Source organism: Homo sapiens, chromosome 15 (genome assembly GCF_000001405.40).
Source record: "Homo sapiens chromosome 15, GRCh38.p14 Primary Assembly".
NCBI lineage: Eukaryota > Metazoa > Chordata > Mammalia > Primates > Hominidae > Homo > Homo sapiens.
In genome coordinates this window covers 60,413,191-60,439,522 of record NC_000015.10, presented here as the reverse complement: position 1 = coordinate 60,439,522, position 26,332 = coordinate 60,413,191, and the positions used below count along the sequence as shown (strand labels likewise).

General features: G+C 39.4%; 1 protein-coding gene across 11 annotated transcripts in view; it reads left to right on the top strand.

The window, feature by feature from the left end:
* ICE2 (interactor of little elongation complex ELL subunit 2) overlaps window positions 1–19,914 on the top strand; it is a 59,534-nt gene extending 39,620 nt beyond the window's left edge. For 6 of the 11 annotated variants that reach the window (NR_147171.2, XM_011522009.3, NM_001018089.3 and 3 more), the window contains 4 exons: window positions 3,296–3,380; window positions 7,539–7,589; window positions 10,836–11,094; window positions 15,761–19,914. Coding sequence is in view for 8 of the 11 variants with exons in the window: in XM_011522009.3 (XP_011520311.1) it covers window positions 3,296–3,380; window positions 7,539–7,589; window positions 10,836–11,094; window positions 15,761–15,889 (524 nt within the window). In the remaining 3 variants the exon portion in view is untranslated. Of the gene's footprint in view, window positions 1–3,295; window positions 3,381–7,538; window positions 7,590–8,050; window positions 8,104–10,835; window positions 11,095–15,760 lie in introns of those variants that run through there. The other 5 variants (XM_047433028.1, XM_047433027.1, XM_047433031.1 and 2 more) reach the window with 3 other exon arrangements.

The window sequence follows — 26,332 nt, the reverse complement described above, 5'->3', positions numbered from 1 at the left end:
TGTAGTCCCAGCTACTCAGGAGACTGAGGCAGGAGAATCGCAAGAGCCTGGGAGGCGGAGGTTGCAGTGAGCCAAGATCGCAGCACTGCACTCCAACCTGGCCGACAGAGTGAGACCCTGTCTCAAAAAAAAGAAAAAAAAGAAAAAGAAAAGATGCATCCTTCCTATGACAAATTGTGCAAGAAGGTAACAAGCACTGTTCAAACTGCTCTTCATTAACGTTTCATGAAGAAAACACTTTAATTTTTTGGATTACAGTGTACTAAAATATTTTACTGTTCTTTTCGTTTTCCTATACATTTATGATTGATAGAGAATTTATAGTGTTTTGATAAAAATTTTAAAGGTAACCAAACAGTTGTAATTTTCCCTATTGATTGTTACAATTGTAGGGTTTCAGCCTGTATAGGCATTTTTATGGTCCTCACACTGCATGCAAAGCAAGGAGTACCTACCTATACACATATGAATGCATGTATGCATGTATATGTTTATGTGCATATATATATGAATGAACGCTTGTATATAAAAGCTTTATTTTTATTATGTATAGATTTTATTTGTCCTCTATAAATCAGTGCTTTCCAACCTTGATGCACATAAATATTTGTACAGCACACTGTGATATATAAGAGAGATTGCTTGTGGCTGAAGGGCAATAGCCAGGAAGCTTTTGCCATCCCAAGCATTGCTGAGCTGCCTGAAGGGCTGAGGTGATGAGTATCTTAAGCACATATATATCTTATTTGAGGCCCACAGGTTAGAAAGCTCCAATGTTGAGAGAGTTGTGAACTCCTTGAGTAGGTAGATCCTCAGAGCACTTAGTATGGTATTCTCTGTATAGTTATTTTTGACAGACCATATTTGACATATACTATAAAACTTTTTTAAATGAATTTCTTTCAAAAGGTAAGAACTATTAGTCTTCTCAAAGACATAATTAGTAAACATCTAAAAGTTATTATGCTTAGTATTTCCTTTCTATGGTTTTTAAATCATTACGATATGTCTTTGTTATTAGAAATGCCACTGTGTAATGAGTGTTACATATAATAAGTAGGTATGGGTACAAATGAATTTGGTGTCTTAGAAGGAAGCCATCTGGTAAAAATGTTTCTAATTATTTGTATGAGCATAAAGCAAATGAAAGGGGGCTTGGTAAGAAAATGAAACATTAAATTATGTGCATTTTTAATTGTCCCAGTGATTGACATCAGCTTTCCAGGTAATTTGTTTTGATACCTAAATATTAGGAGTTAAAAAAATAAAAACAATTTGTCTTCAACATTGATACGTCTTATATTCTCATCATGCTAGTTGATGTTTTTAACTATGGTACAATACATACGATTTTTGTGTTGACTTATATAACATTTAACCCAGGACTCTTTTATGTCACTCTTCCTTGGTATATTTCAGGACCTTGGTGTTAGCTCTCAACCTGTTTTGTTTTAGAACATACGCATTACTTGTTATAACAAAAGCATCATATTGAGAATTTGCTGTTTTGTTTTTTGGAATTCTAGATTCATATTGTGTTTGTGAAAAAAGTAAGAATCGGAGCCGGGTGCCGTTACTCACACCTGTAATCTTAGCACTTTGGGAGTCCAAGGCAGGTGGATTGCTTGAGGCCAGTAGTTCGAGACCAGCCTGGCCAACATGATGAAACTCCATCTGTACCAAAAATACCAAAAAAAAAAAAAGATAGCTGGGAGTGGTGGCACACAACTATAGTCTTAGCTACTCAGGAGGCTAAGGCACAAGAATAGCTTGAACCCCGGAGGTGGAGGTTACAGTGAGCCAGGATCTCGCTGCTGCACTCCAGCCCAGGAGACAGAGCAAGACTCTGTCTTAAAAAATAAATAAATAAATAAATAAAAATAAGACTTCAGCCGGGCTCAGTGGCTCACACCTGTAATCTCAGCACTTTGGGAGGCTGAGGCAGGTGGATCACCTGACGTCAGGAGTTCGAGACCAGCCTCGCCAACATGATGAAACCCAGTCTCTACTAAAAATACAAAAAATTAGCCAGGCCTGGTGGTGGGCACCTGTAATCCCATCTACTCGGCAGGCTGAGGCAGGATCGCTTGAACTGAGGAGGCAGAAGTTGCAGTGAGCCAAGATCATGCTACTGCACTCCAGCCTGGGCAACAAGAGCGAAACTTTGTCTCAAAAAAAAAGTAAAACTTGGAACTGACTGCTTTGATTTTTTTTTTAACTTTGGGAAATCTTATGGTGTGCTTTAATAAATATATATATATATTTTTTGAGACGGAGTCTTACTCTGTCACCCAGGCTGGAGTGCTGTAGCACTGTATCGGCTCACTGCAACCTCCATCTCCTGGGTTCAAACAATTATCCTGCCTCAGCCTCCCAAGTAGGTGGGATTACAGGTGCCCACCACCATGCCTGGCTAATTTTTTTATGTTTTTAGTAGAGACGAGGTTTCACCATGTTGGCCAGGCTGGTCTTGAACTCCTGACCTCAGGTGATCTGCCCGCCTCGGCCTCCCAAAGTGCGGGGATTTCAGGCGTGAGCCACCACACCCAGTCTAATTAAAAAATATTAAGCCAGATTTTCATAATCTAATTTTTACCTTAAGAGCCAAGTGTGTCTTAGCCCCTGTACATTTGATTTTATCTGCTTATTTTGATAATACATAATTATCAACATAATTCAAATTATGTTAATATGTATTAACATAAAAATACATATTATGATAATACATAAATATCATAATTATGATAATTCTCCTCATAAACGCCATGCAAATGTAACTTTCTTTTTTTTTTTTTTTTTTTTGAGACAGAGTCTGGCTCTGTCACCACCCAGGCTGGAGTACAGTGGTGCAGTCTCAGCTCACTGCTGCAAGCTCTGCCTCCCGGGTTAACGCCATTCTCCTGCCTCAGCCTTCCGAGTAGATGGGACTACAGGCGCCCGCCACTACGCCTGGCTAATTAAATGTAACTTTAATAGGAATTAGAAACACCAGTATTTTAATAGTTGTTGTTCATAAATTGTAGGCTTTGAAATGATTTCGTATGTGTGGACATGTGTAAACATATATTCAGCAAATATTTTAGAATGAATATAAATGTTTTATAATCTGAATTATGTTATTTTAAAATATAGCTTTACTTAAGACTTAATAAAATGTGTATTTCTCCTTTTAAAATGTAAAATTTCTTCACAGTTATTAAAATTTGTAATCTTTAAGGAGACAGGATAACTTGGTTTTTTTTTTTTCTAAATACTGCAATTGCTTCTTCTTTCTAAGTTTGATATTTTATTTTAGGGCATATCGATGCATTTACTTCAAAACTTTTTCTACTGGAAGAAATTACCTCAGAAGAATTAAAAGAAAAGCTTTCAGCACTCAAGTAAGAAAGTTTACTTTGTGGTGAGAATTGAAAAATTTGTTAATGTGATCATTAATTTTTCTTTAAATATTGTTTAAGCTTAAATTATTTTCAAGACTTTTAGTCTTTTTATGTATAGAGGTCTCATTGGACTCAGTTTTGTTTTGTCTTTTTTTTTGTTCTTTGTGTGTTTGAGACAGTCTCGTTCTGTCACCCAGGCTGGAGTGCAGTGGTGTGATCTCGGCTCACTGCAACCTCTGCCTCCCCGGTTCAAGGGATCCTCCCACCTCAGCCTCCCAAGTAGGGACTACAGGTGTGCACCAGCATGCCCAGCTCATTTTTGTATTTTTTGTGGAGACGGGGTTTCACTATGTTGCCTGGGCTGGTCTCAAACCCCTGGACTCAAGCAATGTGCCTGCCTCAGCCTCCCAAAATGCTGGGATTACAGGCATGAACCACCATGCCTGGCCAGCAGTATGTACTGTTTGTTTTGTTTTTCTTTGTTTAGTGGTAGATGACGGTTATACGTATTTTGGGGTACATGTGATTTTTTTTTTTTTTTTTGAGACAGAGTTTTGCTCTTTTTGCCCAGGCTAGAGTGCAGTGGTGTGATCTCAGTTCACTGCAGCCTCCACCTCCTGGGTTCAAGCGATTCTCCTGCCTCAGCCTCCTGAGTAGCTGGGATTACAGGCATGCGCCACCACGCCTGGCTAATTTTGTATTTTTAATAGAGACAGGGTTTCTCCATATTGGTTAGGCTGGTCTCAAACTCCCGACCTCGGGTGATCCTCCTGCCTCGGCCTCCCAAAGTGCTGGGATTACAGGTGTGAGCCACTGCGCCTGGCCCTACATGTGATTTTTGTTTTGTTTTGTTTTGTTTTTTGAGACGGAGTCTCGCTCTGTTGCCCAGGCTGGAGTGCAGTGGCGTGATCTCGGCTCACTGCAAGTTCTGCCTCCCGGGTTCATGCCATTCTCCTGCCTCAGCCTCCAGAGTAGCTGGGACTACAGGTGCCCGCCACCACACCCAGCTAAGTTTTTGTATTTTTAGTAGAGATGGGGTTTCACCGTGTTAGCCAGGATGGTCTCATCTCCTGACCTCGTGATCCACCCGCCTCGGCCTCCCAAGTGCTGAGATTACAGGCGTGAGCCACTGCACCCGGCTCCTACATGTGATATTTTAATACCCATATACAGTGTGTAATGACCAAATCAAGATAAATGAAATATCCTTCACCTCAAACATTTATCTTTGTGTTAGGAACATTATAATTCTTCCCTTCTAGCTATTTGGACATATACAGTAAATTATGATGAACTGTAATTTCTCTACTATGGTATTGAATACTAGAAGTTATACCTCCTGTCTAATCCCTTAACCAGCTTCTCATTTCTCCCATCCATTTCCTTCCCAGCCTCTTGTAACCGCTATTCTGTATCTCCATGCTCCATGAGATCCACTTTTTTAGCTTCTACATATGATTGAAAGCATGCAATATTTGTCTTTCTGTGCCTGATTTATTTAACATAATGACTTCCAGTTCTATCCACGATGCAAATAACAGAATTTCATTTCTTTTATGGCTGAATATATTCCATTGTGTGTGTGTGTGTGTGTGTGTGTGTGTGTGTGTGTGTGTGTGTGTAATCACATTTTATTCATTCATCCATTGATGGAGCACAGACCCAATTTGTGATCCGTTTATATTATCTCCATCTCCAAATTAAATATAATGCCAGTGGCACCAGCCTTTTTACTTAAGGGAGGCTAGAGCCAAAGTAGCCGCCGTGCATGGGAAGCAAACGTTTTACTCCATTACAGGAAAGGGAAAGGATAGTACAGTCAAAAACTCTGAGAGTCTAACTTCTCAGTTTGCCCTTCTACCAAGCATCATTATACACGTGACTGAAATGAATTTATCGTACTCAGAACTCTAAATGTCTAAATGCAAAGCAAAATAATTTATGAATATTATTATCCCATTTTCATCTCACAACTTCTAGGAAAGGCTGGTGGTAGTATTATCTCCATTTTTTATATGAGGAAATATTAGAGTGGTATGCCCTAGAGCACACAGCTAAGCTAGTTGCAGCCTTGGTAGTTAATATGTTTGATTCCCACTTAGGGTAAGAAATGGTTCTGACTTCTACTAGCCGCATAGTTCCAGGCTTGACATTGTTTTTTAAGGGTCCCAGATCTAAATTTGAACTCTGTGCTTGTACTTCAGTATGTCTGCTTCTGTTACAAGGACTGCTTCTCTTGAACAGTAACTTTTTTTTTACATATGTGAATAGAAAAGCTTTTCCCTACCCTACTCTCCACCTGCCTCGCTTTTCTCATTGAAAAACATTTTTTTTTTTTAAAAAAAAGGAGGAGGTCAGGCTCAGTGGCTCATGCCTGTAATCCCCACACTTTGGGAGGCTGTGGCAGGTGGATCACTTGAGGTCAGGAGTTCGAGACCAGCCTGGCCAACATGGTGAAACCCCATCTCTACTAAAAATACAAAAATTAGTCAAGTGTGGTGGTGGGCACCTGCAATTCCAGCTACTCGGGTGGCTGAGGCAGGAGAATCGCTTGAACCCAGGAGCGGAGGTTGCAGTGAGCCGAGATCGTGCCACCGCACTTCAACCTGGGCAAAAAGAGCAAGACTCATCTCAAAAAAATAAAAATAAAGAGAGGGAGGGAGAGAGAGAGAGAGAAGAAAAGGAAGAAAGGAAGGATGGACAGACGGACTTTAGGTCTAGAAGAACTACTAAAGAAATTTTTTAAATACCTGATTTGGCCGGGTGCGGTAGCTCATGCCTGTAATCCCAGCACTTTGGGAAGCTGAGGCGGGTGGATCATGAGGTCAGGAGATGAGACCATCCTGGCTAACACGGTGAAACCCCATCTCTACTAAAATTACAAAAACTTAGCCGGGCGTGGTGGCGGGCACCTGTAGTCCCAGCTACTCTGGAGGCTGAGGCAGGAGAATGGCGTGAACCCGGGAGGCAGAGCTTGCAGTGAGCCAAGATCGCTCCAGCCTGGCGCTCCAGCCTGGGCGACAGAGCGAGACTCTGTCTCAAAAAAAAAAAAAAACCTGTGTTTTATTTCCCTTTAGCTATCCTGTCCCGAGTGAGTGGCTTCTCTGTCATCACAGGTTTAACGTACCTATCAATTTTTTTGGAAGCTCATTCACCACCATCTCTGAAAGACAAACTCTTCGGCATATTAGCTTTACTAAAGACCTCTTAGCATTTTGTTTGTTTGGTTTTGGTTTTGGTTTTGGTTTTTTGAGGCGGATTCTTGGTCTGTTGCCCAGGCCGGAGTGCAGTAACGCCATCTCGGCTCACTGCAAGCTCCGCCTCCCGGGCTCGTGCCATTCTCCTGCCTCAGCCTCCCCAGTAGCTGGGACTACAGATGCCCGCCACCACGCCTGGCTAATTTTTTGTATTTTTAGTAGAGATGAGGTTTCACTGTGTTAGCCAGGATGGTCTCCATCTCCTGACCTTGTGATCTGCCCGTCTTGGCCTCCCAGAGTGCTGGGATTACAGGCGTGAGCCACTGCACCCGGCCAGCGTTTTTTTTTTAAGTATATAATTTGAACATAAAATAGTGATCTCTTTACAACTGCTCTGACTCACAAAAAGCCAAATACATTATGATAATGAAAGGAAATCATGAAATGGCAAAAATTGGCCCGACCCCATGCCTCATGCCTGTAATCCCAGCACTTTGGGAGGCCGAGGCGGGTGGATCACCTGAGGTCAGGAATTCAAGACCAGCCTGGCCAACATGGTGAAACCCTGTCTCTACCAAAAATACAAAAAAATCAGCCTGGTGTGGTGGCGCATGCCTGTAGTCCCAGCTATTTGAGAGGCTGAGGCAAGAGAATCACTTGAATCCGGGAGGTGGAGGTTGCAGCGAGCAGAGATTGCGCCACTGCACTCACTCCAGCCTGGGCAACAGAGCAGGACTCCATCTCAAAAAAAAAAAAAAAAAAAAGGAAATTTTTTTTAAAAAATTAAGTAAATATCATAATTTAATCCAAATAGAAATAAGTTTCAGATTTTTTGTATTACATTATCTCATCCGCTGTTTTTGTTGTTGTTATTGAGGGCATTTCTCTGCCTGAGGAGCTATAATTGCTAAAAGTAAGTTTTTTGCAGTTTAATTTTACATGAATTTCTTTTGTTTATCAGGATTTCCAATTTATTTAACATCCTCCAACACATTCTAAAGAAACTAAGTAGGTAAGTATTTTTTAGGCATTTTGCTTTGATACATCTGATTTTCTTAGATGAAAATTCTTAGAAACTTTGAAAATGTACTGTTAGGAATAGAGACAAAATAACCTAGAAATGCAAAAATTATTATGTCAAATGTAAACATTTATATTGTAAAAATATAAAGTAATTTAGTATCTGGCTTTAATGAGCTTGCAAGTACATTTTCCTGTAAGTCTATTATTATGTTATTTTTCTATTGCAGCTGTAACACATTGCCACTAACTTGGTGGCTTGAAACAAAACAGATTGATTCTCTTTTTAGTTCTGGAGTTCAGAAATCCAAAATCAGTTTTACCGGGTAAAAGTCAAGGTGTCAGCAGGAGTGGTCCTTTCTGGAGACTAAGGAAAGAATCATTTCTTTACCTTTGTCAGTTTCTAGTGACCACCTGTATTCGTTGACTTGTGGCTCTTTCCTCCATTCTCAGGGCATGTCACTTGGATCTCTGCGTCGCATCACATTGCCTTCTCTCCTTTTGTGGTAATATCTTCCTCTGCCTCCCTTTTATAAGGTTCCTGGTGATTACTTTGGGCCTTCTCACATAATTTGGGATAATCCCCTCATCTCAAAATCCTTAATTTAATCACACCTGCAAAACGATTAAATATAATACAGTCACAGGTTCTGGTGATTAGCATAAGGACATCATGGTGGGAGACCATTATTCAGCCCACCATAGCTATATTATTTTCACTTTCAAGATTAAAAAAAAAAAAGAAGAACATAGAGGCCGGGCGCAGTGGCTCACGCCTGTAATCCCAGCACTTTGGGAGGCCGAGGTAGGCGGATCATGAGGTCAGGAGATGGAGACCATCCTGGCCAACATGGTGAAACCCCGTCTCTACTAAAAATACAAAAAAATTAGCTGGGTTTTGTGGCGTGCACCTGTAATCCCACCTACTCAGGAGGCTGAGGCAGCAGAATCGCTTGAACCCGGGAGGCAGAGATTGCAAAGCTGAGATGTGCCACTGCACTCCAGCCTGGGCGACAGAGTGAGACTTCCTCTAGAAAAAAAAAGAACATAGAGCTAAATGAACAGTCATTTAGATCCATGGCAAGTCTTAGGATATGGATTTTCCCCCTGATGATTTGCCAAACTGTTTTGTTATATGAATGTTTGCATTCCTTCTCTTATGCCCTTACCAAATGTTAAACTTGAAAACGAACTTACAGTCAAAATCTCAAAGCTCTAGTTCTGAAGAATTCTATTATCTAACTTGATGTCATTTTCCTTATTTGTAAAATGATGGTGTCAAGTGCAATAACTTCCTAGGTACTTTTCAGTTCTGATATTCTGTGATTATGTGACAGGATTTTTATTTTATATATTCTGTTCTTCATGCTATATACAAAGCTTATGCATGAAATTTGCCAGATGTTTTTTGAAATTTTATTATCAATATTTTATTTAGTTTGTGTGTTAGCTTTATATTGTGGCTGTAACAAATTAAGATTATAAAACAACACAAATTTATTATTTTACAGTTCTCAAGTCAGAGGTCTAACAGGGTTCACTGAGTTAAAATCAGGGCATTGGCAAAGCTACATTCCTTTCTGTAGGCTCTGGGAAGGATCTAGTCCTTGCCTTTTGTAGCTTCTAGAGGCCACCTGCATCCCTTGGCTTGTAGCTCCCTTCCTCCATCTTCAAAGTTACAACGCCAAGTTAAGTCGCATCTCTCTGGAGTTGTACAGTCGCATCTCCCTTTGAGTCTCTTCTGCCTTCTTCTTCTGTATTTAAGGGCTCTTGTGATTAGTAAAATTTGATCATTTTAAAATCAGTTGATTAGCAACCTTAATTCCATCTGCTACCTTAATTCCCTTTGGCCATGTAACATATTCATAGGTTCCAGGTTTGGAACATAAACATTTCTAGGAGGCCACTATTCTGTCTACCATAGCTTATATTCATCTATGTACATTAGACATGTACAGCACTTGTAAGATACTCCTCCTTAGAGTATCTCTCATTCTCCATGAATTAAATATTAATATATTCTTCTGTAAATGAAAGCTTTCTCCATTTTTAGTGGAAGTAGTTAAGATATATGATTTTCATTGATTAAAACTCAATCTTTGAAATGTTATTTATTCCTACTATCATAATAATTCATTTCTTTATATGGAAATATGAAAATGATTGGGAAAAAAAATTTCCAGAGGATAAGAGCAATTGTCAACACCTATTTTCAGTTTAAAAATTGATGAAAATGTAACCGATTAGGTTTATAGGCAAATCTGTATAGCTAAAGTATGATAAATCTTTATTTTTTCATAATATATTGTAAAGAACCGATGTTCTCCTTAACATCTTTGATCCAGAGGACTGTGTAATCCTAAGAAAGCACAATATATTTATTCATATCCCTTTAGTTCTTTAAGATGATACATTGAATTATTTAAAACTTTATAAGGAGAAAGGAAAAATGTGGATTTGATGTTCAACATAGTTTGTTATTGCTACAGTAGAGGATCGTGATTAAGGGTATGGCCTGTGGAGTTCAAATGCCTGGGTTTATATCTAAGCCTACACTCACAACTTTGGGCAAATTGCTTAGCATCTCTAATTTGTTTATTTATCACCCTAAATTAATATGCCTTGAAGGTTTATTGTGGAAGATCTAATAGAAAATAAATTTGAAGCCATAATACAGTAGTTAGCTCATAATAAACATTTAATACCTGCTAGCTGCTATTGTTTCTGTTATCCTCATAGCACCTCATGTTGTACTGTGATTGTTCCATTGACTGTTTCTTCCACTTTATTTTAAACTACTCAGTGTAGCAAACATATCACCTTCACTTTTGTATCTAGTCATCTATCTATTATTAGGTACAAAATAGTTGCAGTGTTAAATGAATGAAAATGCTGTAGGAATGCTTTTCAGTATAGATACCTATAAATATCTAATCTATGGATTAGAGAATTAGGCACACTGTTTGTTTCCCATTAAATGAAAACTTACGAATTGCTATAAAAGTAAAAAGAAAATGATCAACTATTCTGAACTTTGGAATAAGAATTAAAATTAGTTGCCTAAAAAGCATAAAAATAGTTTTAAAGATTTCTTAAATCTTATTTTGTCATAAAAGTATTTTTAGAGGTGGTGTGATCTTCTCATAATTTTCAATTTTACTAATAGATTATGATTAAGAAAGTGATGTTGAAATTGACACAGTGAGCCAGTGGGTTGAGTTTCATTGTGTGAATTTAGCTTGCAGGAGGGTTCCTACTTGTTATCTCATGCAGCAGAAGATTCTTCACTCCTGATTTATAAGGCCTCTGATGGAAAAGTTACTAGGACAGCATACAATTTGTATAAAACACATTGCGGCCTTCCTGGTGTACCTTCCAGTCTCTCAGTTCCCTGGGTCCCATTAGATCCCAGCCTGTTATTACCATATCATATCCATCATGGAAGAATACCTTGTACTTTTCCACCGAAATCACTGGATACCACAACACAACAAAAGGTAAGATCTTTTTTGAAATTAAAGGTTCATTAGGTTGTTTATTATTCGTCTATTTCACTGACTTTACCGTATTTCACCCTGATGTTCTCATTGTCATATTAATCACAGCACCATTCTAAAAGCTATATCCATAGGAAGGATAAAGTTGTATGCCATGGTGAGTCCAGTCTTCGTGGTAGTGGAACTTTTTTATTTTTGCAAGATTTATAAGTCAACTAAAGAAAACTCTCTTAGCTTGCACAGTGGGTGTATGGGTAAGGCATCCATGTAGTTAAACCCTTATATTCCTATGAAAAGCAAAGTTGTGGGGTTTTTTGTAATTTTTATTTATATATACTGGGTTTCATTTCATTAAGTATTTTAGGCAATTTGCGGAAGAGTACATGTAATAAAATTATGATATAATTAAACATTGTTAATTAGGATGAGGAAAAAGAAGTAATAGCAGTTTGTGAACAGAGTGCCTAATTAAAAATATACCTAAAGTATCAAGGACTAAATTGTGTCTTTCTAGGTATTATGTAACTCAGTATTTACTGAATTACAATTAACATTACTCTCTTTATAGAACCCTTGCCAAAAGTAACAGTTGAATGACATTATCTGAAGCTTATAAACCCATAGCTAGAGTTATTCTCTGCTATGTCACTCATTCTGTATATTGTGTAGGAAATTCCAGTTCGAGTTTAGTTGTTAGAAAAGTTTTGCACTGGGCTGGGCGCAGTGGCTCACACCTATAATCCCAGGACTTTGGGAGGCCAAGGCGGGTGGATCATTTGAGGTCAGCAGTTTGAGACCAGCCTGACCAACATGGTGAAACCCCATCTCTACCAAAAATTAGCCTGGCATCATGGTGCACACCTGTAATCATTTCCAGCTACTGGAGAGGCTGAGGCAGGAGAATCGCTTGAACTTGGGAGGCAGAGGTTGCAGTGACCCAAGATCACTCTACTGCACTCCAGCCTGGGCTACAGAACGAGACTCTGTCTCAAAAAAAGAAAAGGAAAGAAAAAAGTTTTGCTCTCTACAAATGACTCTGAATGTGTTCAGGACACGATCCAGTATATTTTCCTTACTTACTGCCAAAAGTCTTTGAGTCAGAATTATTGTCTGAGTCATTATCTTCTCATTATGGTTGCCCCAGAGCATCTATCACTTGTGTATTCTTCCTTTTCACTGTCTGTACTATACTGAATTAATCTGTAAATGTCCTCAAATCCTTATGAGAAACAGCTGGAATGCAAATACTGAGGATTTTTAAATAATTTAAAGTAAACAGGGTTGTTTGTTTATGTCTTTCAGTTCTCCACTCTAAGTTACTGTTTGGGAGTATCCTTTTAGAAATGAGAACTCCTTGTACATTCCTACTTAGCTTTGGCCAAGAAAATATAAATGTTAAGTTGGGACAAGTGAAAGAATGGAGAAAGTTACTTGTTAGCATTTTAAGCTATTTTATCTTCAGTTTTGGTTGTCTGTTTCCAGTTTACTAGAAGTAGTAACTTTTATAACCTAAGGAAAAATTTTCTTAAGTAACTCAAAAATAATTGAAGAACTATTTTTGAAGGATCTGTGTTTTTCTAGGAGAATGATTTCCTTTTAATTTAGAAACACTGATTATAGTCTCTCACCTATAACATGTAATTCTGTGTGGGAGTGGTTTATTCCTTTTTAGTGAAAATGAACAGTTTAATACCTTGGAATTGAACAACTTTAAGTGAAAGGAAAAATGTATTATGTGTGTGCAAGGTGTTTCTAAAAAAATGAGTAATATACTTTCCTTATTGATATAGACTGACACTAAAATAGTGTTGAATGCTTTATGCTTTGGAAATACTTTAATGATTTGATTTTTTTTAAATAATGTCTAGAATGTGCTTTAGTACAATAACACAATTTGTAGTCATGTATCACTTAACGACAGGGATACATTCTGAGAAATGCAGCACTAGGCAATTTTGTCTTTGTTTAAATACCATAAGCTTACTTACACAAACCTAGAGGGTGTAGTCTACTACACACTTAGGCCGTATGGTATAGCCTATTGCTGTTAGGTAGTCTACAGACCTGTACAGCATGTTGCTGTACTGAATACTGTATGCCGTTGTAATACACTGGTATTTGGATATCTAAACGTAGACAAGGTAATACATTGCACTGTTATGTTGTAACAGCTGTGACATCACTAGATGATAGAAATTTTTCAGCTCCATTATAATCTTTTGGGACCACTGTTGTATATGTAGTTCATTTTGACCAAAATGTGACTGTATTTGGAAAAGGAGAAATTCCATATGTTCACAATTTGGCCACATAATTACAACAGTTCAATTACATGTGTATCACGGAGTGTGCTTCATGCATTCAGTCCAGGAACAAATACTTAACGAGATTATCCAGGCCCAGGTTGTTGTAGAGCCCAGCATTAGGTACAGTGGACAATTAGATAACTAATAGTTGGTTTGATATATTTTTGAAAGCCAGTGGAAAGTTTTTGGTGATCTACTCACCTCCCCACAATCTAGCCCTGTGTTTGATAGGAATTACCCCATCTTCTTCCCTACCTCCTAGCTAGGCCATGGGATTGGGCCTTCTAGTCCCAACCAATCTAAGTGCAAATATGGATTCTAGTTTTAGCAGCAATGGTAAGATGACAGCTTTCAGGAAACCAGGGAAGTAAGACCTATATGAAATAGAAATCATCTGCATATTTTCATGGTGTAAAAATTTGTTCAAACGTTTCTGCCTCTAATGTGATCCCATAGTCACGAGTCCACTTGAACTCTGATCTCATCCTTGTATAGTGCCTTTGGTACTAACCCTGAGAGATATGCCAGTAGAGCCTGCATCTGCCTCCCTACTGCATCAAGTAGAGATTGTATTTAAGGGTCCCATTTGCTTCCTGGGCTACTTTTGACTTCTGCTTCCAGTCTTTCTTGCAGCAGCTTCACACTTATCCCTTTTTTCTTTCTACATCTTCTGTAATAAACATTTATTTTACACATTCAGACACACACAGTCTTGCAGTGGAGGTTTTCAAAATGCTTGCTTTTCTCAAAAATTTTAACAGATAGAATTAGTGTGGTCAATATACCTTTATAGGAAATACCAGCTGAGTGAGGAGTGGTATAGATCATCCAAAAGTCGCAGCACTTTTCTAATCAGTATATTACAAAATTTCATCAGATTCACACAGACAAATCTGTACTCAATTTGTCCTTTCTGGTCAGGTAAATGTAAATAAAAAAAAATGCTTTTTAAAGGGACAGTAGATATTAAATAAAGGAAGCCAGAGTCCGAGCTTTTTCAGTGAGTCTGTAACCCCTTGGAGCAAATGCCAATAGTATTTCTGTTGGGCTAGCATTATGAGAGAGAGTGCTTGGAGTTACACTATCACCCTTCAGTCCCAGGCCTGAAATTGACTGGACGGGATATGAAGAAATAGAGGAGAACAAGGTGGCCAGGGAAAATAAAGGCAGATATGGGCAGGTTCTGTGGAAATAGTTTCAGGCTATACAGCTTTGGTCCTTCTCTGTGAGATTGGCCTTCTCCATTACTGTTTTTATAGATCACATCTTTAACATGACTACATAGCAAGGGATTCTGTATTAAGAATAGACCACCTTGGCTGGGCGCGGTGGCTCATGCCCATAATCCCAGCACTGTGGGAGGCTGAGGCGGGCAGATCACTTGAGGTCAGGAATTCCAGACCAGCCTAAACATGGTGAAACCCCATCTCTACTAATAATACAAAAGTTAGCCAGGCATGGTGACACACACCTGTAATCCCAGCTGCTCAGGAGTCTGGAGTCAGGAGAATCGCTTGAACCCAGGAGGTGGAGGTTGCAGTGAGCAGAGATCGCGCCAACTGTCCTCCAGCCTGGGTGACAGAGCGAGACTCTGTCTCAAAAGAAAAAAAATAGACCACCTCTCTTTGACTGTGTGAGCTAGAAAGTGAGGGTAAGGAAGGGTAGACTTGAAGGTAGAACCACAGCAAAGTTCCTTCCCCCATCCTCTGTATTCCCCCTTCCAGTTTTTTCTTCCCCTTTTCTTATTTCTTTCTTGCTCTCCTCTTTCAGCCCTTCAGGATTTCCCTGCTACTTGGGTTCTTGTCTTGAAACTTCCTTACACTTTTACTGTTTTTTTTTTACTTCCCTTTTTCTTAATCTTCATCTCTTTCCTCAATTTTCTTTCCTTATCTTCCCTACCCTTCTTATTATCTTTCTTGTTTGTCCATGTAATTTCTTCTCCCTGTTTACCACCTCTGACCTTCTTGTATTTCCTTTCGCTCCCTCCCTATTACTCCTTCCTTTTTCTTGTCCTTCAGTTTAATTATTTCAAACACATCACACATAAGGCCTGTCATTCCCTTGATTTCTAATTTATCTTTTCAACCTCTAATAAATTTAACACAGAGAATAGTTTCCCCATTCACTTTGCTCCCCATCTACTCAGATCTATCAACTTCTCTGATGGTTATTTGAAAGTTTAGTACTTAAAAATGTGTCAGATTAAAACTTGTTTAGAAACAGCCAGCTAGCTGGAGATGAAAAATATATAAGAGCTTATTTGCAAGGTGGTTAATACATGTATAAATACTACAGAGTTGACTGTATATAGGTATGTTGTAGATACATTAAGCTATTCTGTTCTCTGCTTCATCTCTTAGATTGGTGGAACGAGAATGCCTACACGCAGCCACAGGAATCCAGTTTCCATGGAAACCAAAAGCAGTTGCTTGCCTGCTCAGCAAGTTGAAACTGAAGGAGTGGCTCCACATAAAAGAAAAATAACTTGAGGACTGTACCATGGAAAACTAAATTTAAAAAAACAGTTATAACAGTGTTTAATTTAGATAAGTTTGAGGGAAAATAATCAGTAGGCAAGAGGAACATTTTTCCTGTAGTAGCTAGAGTGCCTTGAAAAAATGTGTTGGCTATGTGAAGGAATATTTCAACTAAAATGGAATGGTATGCTTTTCACCCTTGAAGTTTGAGGAGGATCTTGATATGTTTTAACATTATCATGGCAGGGAAATATATAAAGAAGAAAAATATTTTTACATTAAACCTTTTCTAAAAATTGTAAATAGAAAAATAATTTGGTTTTTTATCAAGAACAACACTTATCGTTATGTATTGTGTTAGTTATATTGCCAGTCTGTTGCGACTGACTCAAAAAGTTAAATGTTGCCACTGCTGAAGATGATTATGAGCATCGCAAACTTTGTTTCTGACCCATTTTGACAGTTTTTATATACTCCTTTAAAATGATGAATGTTACAGGTTAATAAAGTTAATACCTTTAAAAACTTGGTGAAATTCCATTACAGAAGCCAAAAATAAAAACTCCCTGCCTCTGAAAAGTCAGATTACTGACTTCTTGTTTGGCAACCATCAGTTTGTTTAATAAAAGAAAAAATTTGGTGGTATAACATGTTTGATGACAGATGCCTCTATCTCTAGATTCAAGCTGAGTGTTGAAATACACTGCTGAAAGCAAAGAGATAGGTATGTTTTCCAGAAAAAAAGTCAGTGTCATTGCTCCAGATGACAAGGTTAATGTGGTAAAGCATAAGCTTTTTTTTTTTTTTGAGATGGAGTCTCGCTCTGTTGCCCAGGCTGGAGTGCAGTGGCATGATCTCAGCTCACCACAACATCCACCTCCTGGATTAAAGCGATTCTCCTGCCTCATCCTCCCGAGTAGCTGGGACTACAGGCACCTACCACCAGGCTTGGCTAATTTTTTTTTGTATTTTTAGTAGAGACAGGGTGTTACCATGTTGGCCGGGCTGGTCTCAAACTCCTGACCTTGTGATCCGCCTGCCTTGGCCTCCCAAAGTGCTGGGATTACAGGGGTAAGCCACCGTGCCTGGCCAGCATAAGCTATTTTTATCCTCATCTATACTGATTGATTTAAATTTTCCGGGCCTGCAGATGAATTTGGAAAAGGGCATAATCAACTGATGTTGCTGTAGCAAATTTGGACTTAAGAAACTACAGACAGGGCCGGGCGTGGTGGCTCACACCTGTAATTCCAGCACTTCGCAAGGCCGAGGCGGGAGAATCACTTGAGTCCAGGGGTTGGAGACCAGTCTGGGCAACACAGACCTCATCTCTACAAATAAAAAAGTTAGCCGGGTGTGGTGGGGTGTGCCTGTAGTCCCAGCTACTCAAAAGGCTGAGGCAGAAGAATTGCTTGAGCCCAAGAAGTCAAGGCTACAGTGAGTTGTGATCGCACCACAGAACTCAGCTTGAGTATCAGAGTGTGACCCTGTCTCAAAGAAAAAAAAAAACAGGACAGGCTTGTTTAATCTTTAGAACCCTTACACTAAAATTTTCAGAAATTATGTATGTCATTTGTAAAATATAAGTTTTGTAATCCTAGATAATTGCTTCACATTGAAATTTTTTAGCTATTCTGTGTAAAGAATAGCTATTCTTTTGGCCTAATTTCTGAGAAATTAGACCGAAAAATCTCCTCAAGTATTGTAACAGTTGAAAATACTTATATTCAACTACCAAGTTTTGTTTCATTTTGATTTTTTGTTATAAAACATTTTTAAGTTATTTGAGAAGTAATTATTAGTAAAATTGTATCTTGATAAATCATTTCCTCATCCTGCCATTCCCTTTTATAAAACACTGAGTTTTTTTATTCCTTAAGTCACATATCCCAGAAATGTTTTGGTTGTGAATCATTTGCCAGCGAGCCAAGGGAGAGGCAGGGATTCCCTTGAAATGTACTCTTACACTTTTTTATTTTATTTTTAATGTACATTTGTGTGCACCAGAATGGAATGTGCTCTTTTTAAAGAGCTGGACAGTGGTTGCTTCAGACTTCTGAATACCAGAAAGACTTGCCTTTTAATTTTTAAATATTACTTTTTACATCATAAAATGTGTTATCTTATCCATGTATTTGAATAACATCATATATAAAGGTAGTTTTTTGCTTGTGCTTAGTGAAGCCTCCTTTTTTAACATACATTTGATATGCTTTATGTTCTTTTTCTTGATTTTTAGTACTGAGAATTTATAAGCCAAGAAGTAACTGACAATATGTTTAGCAGGATGTAATCCCAGCTACTTGGGAAGCTGAGGTGGGAGGATCGCTTGAGTCTAGGAGTTTGAGGCTGCAGTGAGCTATGATGGTGCCACTGCACTCCATCCTGGGTGAGAGATCAAGACCCTATCTCAAAAAATGAGCAAGTTTTTTTTTTTTTTTTAAATCAGACTTAGGGCTAGCAAGGATGTGATCACCCTGGCCCATTTATACCTCAGCAGTGAAGGTGTAATTTATACACACCTCTTTGAAAACAGTTTAATTCAGTAAGTGAGTGCAACTATGTGCCATGCACTCCAAAGTAGGTCCCCACAGTTATTCTCTCATAGCCTTGTTTTTTCAGATCTCACCATATTTATTTGTTTCTTTGATTTTCTTTTCTTATAGATTACAAGCTCTGCAAGGACAGGGGCATATTTGTTTTGTTCACCATTAAGTAATAAACACCTAATACAGTGCCTGTCATGTAGTTGCTTAGCAGATATTAGTTAGATGCATGAATGTGTAGGTATCAAAGATTTTTTTTTTCAGGAGATCACATTCTAGTGGAAGACACTATACTGCTTTATGTGATAAGTGCTTTGATAAAGTAAGCAAGTCATCTAACCAGATCTTGGTAGTTAAGGTTTTCTGAGATAGAACTTGAGCTGAGTCTTTTAAAAATAGTAGGATTTATAAGGGAAAATTAAAGGTCTTCCACAAAGAAACTAAGTGAAACTAAGCAGCCTATGAAAAGGTGAAAGTTGGAGAGATTATAGGCTATGAACATGGGAGATGAGAGAGAAAACTGCAGGATAGGGACAGAAACACTGTGCTAAGACATTTGAACTTTGTCCTGTGCAATGTGGGAACCAGTAGTGAAGGTTAATTAACTGACATGATCAGATATGTATTTGAAAAGGGCTCTTGTTGGCATTAGTCTAGAGAATGCGATGGAGCTGGGAAGCGAAAGAAGAAATGTTGGGAGCCTGTGTTGTAGTAACTGAAAAATGGCAATGGCCCAGAATTAAAGCAGCAAGAATAGGAGTGGGCTCAAGTGATGTATAAGGAAAAAAAAAAAAATGACAACTCAGTTTTGTTGTTGGTAAGGAGAGTAAAGTATGGCTTCTGGGTTTCTCATTTGAGATACTGAGTAAATGATGGTGTTAACCCATTGAGAAAATAGTGTGGTTAGAGTGGGAAGAAAGTTAATTTAAAATGTTCATTTTTTTTTTTAGTCATTTCTACTTTTGGATTCTAGGTTTGTGTGCTATATTGGTTATAACCAATTTGCTGAATAATAAATTATCCCAAAACTTAGCTACTTAAAACAACAAACATTATCTCACAGTTTCTGTAAGTCAAAAGTCCAGGTCTCTCATGAAGTTGCAGTCAGGCTCTTGGCTAGGGCTGCAGTCATCTGAAGGATTAGTAAGTCGCTAAGCCCACACTTAAGCTCCACCCTTGAAGGGAGAAGTTTGGAAAGAATTTGTGAACATATTTTTAAATCACATATGCTATGAACAGGTTTAGGGGAGGGAGAGGAAAGAAAACTTTAACTTTTCATTAGCATACTGCATCTGTAGTTCCTAATGGGCATGTTGTAAAGATGTTAAGACGTTTTCTATGCATTATAGGTATATAGTAGTATTTTGTTTTGTTCTGTTTTTTTGTTTGGTATGTAGTAGTTTTTAATCAAACCTTAACGTATTTGATATTAAGATTTATTGAGTTTCTTGTTGAGATGTAGAAATAAAGGGGATCCATTTCATTTATCCATCTACTGTTGCCATGTCCCCTTCACTCATGTCCAGTCTACTTATCAAGGTATATAATGGCAGACACATTTACAAGGCATCTATCTGGGATTTGGATCTGCCCTGCCAGGCAAAAATTACTGAAAAGAGTCAAGAACCAGACCTGTGTTTCTAAGATGGTGGATCTCTAGATTACTTACTTCATCAAACAGATTTAAACAGTCAAGAGTTTGCCTTGGCAGATGTGTTTGCTTTCAATATATGAGCTATAGCCTGGTTGATTCTTTAAGAAAGTAGGAGGGAAGCCTGAGTATAAATTTATTGCTGTTTTGAAAGTGAAGAACCCTTATAAAGATTCTGTGATTAGTGGGTTGACTTTCTTCCCTTTTCTTCAAAATCTGTTTCTTTTGGGTGTGGGGAGAAGGAATATTTTCTATTCTCCCTATCCTAGATTTTGCTTATTTAGAAATATACAGCACTGGAGGCCGGGTGCGGTGGCTCACGCCTGTAATCCCAGCACTTTGGGAGGCCGAGGTGGGTGGATCATGACATCAGGAGATCGAGACCATCCTGGCTAACACGGTGAAACCCCATCTCTACTGAAAATACAGAAACTTAGCCGGGTGTGGTGGTGGGCTTCTGTAGTCCCAGCTACTCGGGAGGCTGAGGCAGGAGAATGGTGTGAACCCGGGAGGCGGAGCTTGCAGTGAGCCGAGATTGTGCCACTGCACTCCAGCCTGGGCGACAGAGTGAGACTCCGTCTCAAAAAATAATAATATACAGCACTGGAGAGTATTTACACATAATCCTAACAGACATATGCCAGTAGGGCAAAGCCACATTGATAAACATGAGTATCCGGTCCCTTCCAAGCACTGCCATTAATGCAACATCTGCTCTAGCCAGGCTTTAACATTGCACACATTAGCTATTCTTGTCCCTGCCTGCATGCTATTGTACATGATTCTGTGTCTACTTGGATTTATTATCACCTATCAAAACCTTGCCTGTCCTCTGTTGAATTGGTAATGCATTTTTTGAGTATCTATTGGATGTAATGCATTATACCAATCTCGGGATTTAAAGATAAATTTAGGATTGGTTTCTGCCTTAAGAGTATTTCCTAATCTAGTTCAGGAGATAGATATGCATAATTAGCTATAATATAAGTGAAAATGTTCAACTGACACAATAGTGCAAAGGAGTAAGAAAAAGGGACACTTGGAAATCAGAGAAAGGCTTAGTAGGAATGACCTTTAAGCTGTTTGAAAGACAAGTAAAAATGTGGACAAAAAGGAAGTGGAGCGTTGCAGCATGAGGGAAAATCATGAGAGGAGCTGGATTTAGGAAGTAGCGAAGTTGGTCATGTGAAAAGCATGGGGGTGAAATATGATAAGTGGGAGATGAAGTTGAGGTATGTTGGAGCTCAATAGTAGGAGATTTGAATGTTATGCCTAGTTTGGTTTGAATCGGAAAGCAATGAGGAGGCATTAAAGGCTTTTAAGCAAAATGATGAATTTTAGGAAGGCTACAGTATAAAAAATTATTTAGAGAGGAGAAAGACCAATGGCAAGGAGGTGTTAACTGTACATATAGCAGGTGTATTAAAAAGGTATAGATTGGAAAGCTATTTAAGAGGCAGCAGATATCTGATTTTACCCTATCCTCAAAATAAATGTTTACTTGTAACATTGAATCACAACTGGGTAACAGACATTGTGCTAGGTGTTGGGAATACAAAGTTAAAACACATTTTTCAGTGTTTACAGTTTCACAGAAGGAGACAGACATCTAAATGGGTACAAAAATGTAAATATTGTGATTAATTTCTGTAATGGGTAAGAGTTACATGAAGAGGTAGGAGTTGTTCTACCTGTAGACATCAAAAAAGATCTCATAAATGAGCTAAAACTTGACCTAAAAACCGTATCTTATTTTTCCCCTGTATCTAGAATCAAGCTTGGCAAGCAGCAAACATTTAATCAATATGTAAAGATGGTCTTGACTTACAATGGTTCAACTTAGGATTTTTGGGCTTTACAATGATGCCAAAGCAAAATGCAGTCAATAGAAATCATACTTCAAGTATCCATACAGCCATTCTGTTTTTTTATTGGTAGGTTAGGTATGTTAAATGCATTTTCAACTTACAATATTTTCAACTTATTATTTGTTTGTTTGTTTATTATTTTTGTTGACATGAGGACCTGGTATGTTACTTAGGCTGGTCTTGAACTCCTGACCTCAAGTGATCCACCTCAGCCTCCCAAAGCGATGCAATTATTAGCATGTGCCACTGTGCTCAGCCTGAACTCACAATGAGTTAATCTGGATATAATTCCATCACAAGTTAATGAGCATCTGGATTATTGATGTGTGCATGTTCTCCAGCTGATAAGGTTGGAGGTAGGGGTGTGACAGCTCAGTAAGCGAAGATATGGCCCAGATCGCTCAGTAAGCGAAGAAATAGCATGTATGTACAGAATTATGCAGTAAGATGTTTCAAAGACAACTGAGGTTTTTACTAAGTGTTGCCACTGACTTAAAATATTAGAATAGAGAGGGGGTGAAAAGACAAGTTGTGTTTTCAACTAAACGTCAGCAGAACAATTACGGGGATGTCCTATAGAACACTGAAAATGTGGGTCTGTAACGTAGGAGAGAGGAATAGATAGGCATGTTATGTTTAGGGCTCATCTTTGTGCTGAGACACCAGGAAAGGTGGGGCTTGCCTGTCTGAGACCAACCTGGCCTTTTTTTATTTTCTCCTTGCTATGGTTTTAATGTGTTCCCTTTCAAAATTCATGTGTTGGAAACTTAATCTCTAATGCAACAGTGTTGGGAGGTGTGGCCTTTGGGAAGGTGGCTAGGTCATGGATGGATTAGGCCATTATGAAAAGGGTGTATGGGGGTGGGTTCACCCTCTTCTGATCTACTGTCATGTGAGGATTCAAAATTCATCCGCTCTTGCCCTTCTGACTTCCACCATGTGAGGACACAGTAAGGCACATACGAGACGCAAGTGCCTGGATCTTGTACTTCCTGGGCTTCAGAACTGTGAGAATTACATTTCTGTTCTTTATAAATCACCCTGTCTGTGGTATTCTGTTATAGCAGCACAAAATAGACTAAGACACTCCTCTTCCCCTTTGCTAGGGCCAAGGGCCTGGACTTAGGTTACACATCAGGTTCATTAAGCAAGTAAATACATTGCGAATAATGGGGCCCGGGCGTGGTGGCTCACGCCTGTAATCCCGGCACTTTGGGAGGCCGAGGCGGGTGGATCACCTGAGGTCAAGAGTTCGAGACCAGCCTGGCTAACCTGGTGAAACCCTGTCTCTACTAAATTACAAAAATTAGCTGGGCATGGTGGCAGGTGCCTGTAATCCCAGTTACTCGGGAGTCTGAGGCAGGAGAATCACTTGAACCCAGGAGGTGGAGGTTGTGGTGAGCTGAGTTCAGCCATTGCACTCCAGCCTGGGAGACAGAATGAGAATCCTTGTCAAAAAAAAAAAAAAATGCCGATAATGGGAAAGGGGAAGGCAAGAATAAACCCTGTGATATTCTATTGGAATTGGAAGTATCAGAGTGAACTCATGGTATTTAATATACAGTGAGAGAGATGAAGAAACAGTTACAGCTGTGTGAGTACATATGCATACATTTTTTATTTTATTTATTTATTTTTATTTTTATTTTTATTTTTTGAGACAGAGTTTCACTCTTGTTGCCCAGCTGGAGTGCAATGGTGCAATCTCGGCTCACCACAACCTCCGCCTCCCGGGTTCAACCGATTCTCCTGCCTCAGCCTCCTGAGTAGCTACAGGCATGTGCCACCACGCCCGACTAATTTTGTTTGTTTGTTTGTTTGTTTGTTAATATAGAGATGGGGTTTCTCTATGTTGGTCAGGCTGGTCTTGAACTCCCAACCTCAGGTGATCTGCCTTCCTTGGCCTCCCAAAGTGCTGGGATTACAGGCATAAGACACCTTGCCTGGCCCTTTTTTTTAAAAGACACAGGCTCATTTTGTCGCCTAGGCTGGAATGCAGTGGCACGATCTCAGTTTACCACAACCTCCGCCTCCTGGGTTCAAGCAATTCCCCTGCCTTAGCCTCCCGAGTAGCTAGGATTACAGGCGCCCACCACCACGCCTGGCTAATTTTTGTATTTTAGTAGAGATGGGGTTTCACCATGTTGGCTAGGCTGGTCTCAAACTCCCGACCTCAAGTGATCCACCCGCCTTGGCCTCCCAAAGTGCTGTGATTACAGGCATGAGCTACTGTGCCCGTCCCATTTTTCCTTATTGTGCTGAGAGGGTCTAGATGCAGTGACAATTTAGTAGCAATGGCACATGTAACATCCAGATCTTGGTTTCTATATCCCGTTCTTCACTAAAAGAAACCAGGGCTCTTTGAAGAAATTACTGATTGTAAGTTTGGGTCAGGGAACAATGGAAGATGAATCTGGAACATCACGTTGCACCAGAAAGAAAGTGTTCACTGGGCGTGATGGCATATGACTATGGTCCCAGCTACTTGGGAGGCTGAGGTGGGAGGATTCCTTGAGCCCAAGAGGTTAGGTCTGCAGTGAGCTATGATCACACCACTACACTCTAGCCTGGACAACAGGGTGAGACCCTGTCTTAAAAAAAAAAAAAAAAAAAAAAAAAACCAGCCCGATCAACATGGTGAAACCCCGTCTCTACTGAAAATACAAAAATTAGCCGGGCATGGTGGCGTGTGCCTGTAATCTCAGCCACGCAGGAGGCTGAGGCAGGAGAATCGCTTGAACCCAGGAGGCGGAGGTTGCAGTGAGCCGGAATTACGCCACTGCACTCCAGCCTGGCAACAGAGCGAGACTCCATCTCAAAAAAAAAAAAAGAAACCTCTGAAAAATATTCTATCTTGCCAAGCGTGGCTCATGACTGTAATCTCAACACTTTGGGAGGCCGAGGCAGGAGAATCGCTTGAGCCCAGGAGTTTGAGGACAGTCAGGGCAACACAGTGAGACCCTGTCTCTACAAAAATAAAAATTAAAAAATTAGCTGGACGTGGTGGCACACACCTGTAGTCTCAGCTATTGGGGAGGCTGAGGTGAGAGGATTGCTTGAGCCATGGAGATCAAGGCTGCAGTGAGCTGTGATCGCGCTACGGTACTCTAACCTGGGCAATAGAGCAAGGCCCTGTCTCAAAAAACAAACAAAACCATTCTATCTTTCAGCCAAAACTCGTCTCCACCTGAGTATGTAGTCTGTCCTTCTTCCTGGGGCAACAACAACAACAAAAAGCTTACCTCTTCTCACAGGGAGAGACCTGTGCCCAATCACTGGTGTGCTGAAAATATGCCCACTCTTTCCTACGCCTCACCATCCATAGATAATATTATCCAACGCCAAGTAAACATGAGTCATACACAGTTTTGCAAACTGGTTTTTCAGCAGACATCTGTCCAACTTAAGCCGCTGAAACTGAAAAAAAAAAAATTAAAGCTTTTTTGGTTTAACCTCTCAGATGGAACTCCAAATAAATAATGAGAGTATCATGTCTGGGAACAGTCTCACTGACTACATAATCCTTCATGAGACAATATTTACATTTGTCCCTGAAGTTTTCAACTGAAAGTCAGAAAGGGATCCAGAATAAATGATCAAGTGATTAAGATCCACCTGTTTAATTGAATGAGAGAGTTAACATTTCTATACAACTAAGAATAGAATGTATTTTATGTCTGGTCTGTGTTTTAGGGAATTGGTGTCTTATTTTTAACTAATATCTAGTCATGGGTCCCAACAATACCCAAACAAGAGTTTTACTATTGTGAAAAATAAATAATTGAACACTGTTTGCAGGTATAATGTCTCCCCTCTGCCCCATCAAAAGTGATGCAAATTATAACTCCCAAGTGCCACAATGGGCAGTTGGAAATAGTTTCTGTCCAGCACCAATCTGCAGTCTTGTAGAAATGCGCAACGAGTTTCTTCTGAGTTCGGAAAGTGGGGTGGGGGAGCGTGTGAAGTCACAGTGCAGCAGGCTTGCATAGCTCTGTCTATGTGTGCATGTTGGGAGGCTAATAAAGTGATAGGTCCGTTCCTAATTCGGTTTGGCTTTTTTGATATTACACTCTAGCGTCTGAAAACTTTTACTCTTAAGGAGCAGGACTCTGTAACTGACTAAGTGCCTAAGGCCTAAATGTCATTTTGCATACAAGGCTGTCAGCCAAGCCTTCTGCCTCCCAGGAGCCCAGTGCTAGAGTTAATTCACATCCAGCCGTGAGGAAGTCTTCGGAATGTTAAGACTGTCAGCTGCAACTTTCAGAGGAAGAAAAGTATGAGAGGTTGAGTCTTAGAAGTAGCCAGCTCAGGGTTGGATTTTGTTGGAAGAAGCAGTTAGGGGAGGAAAGGGGAAAGAGCACTGAAACATAGTCTCAACTCTGCCATTTGC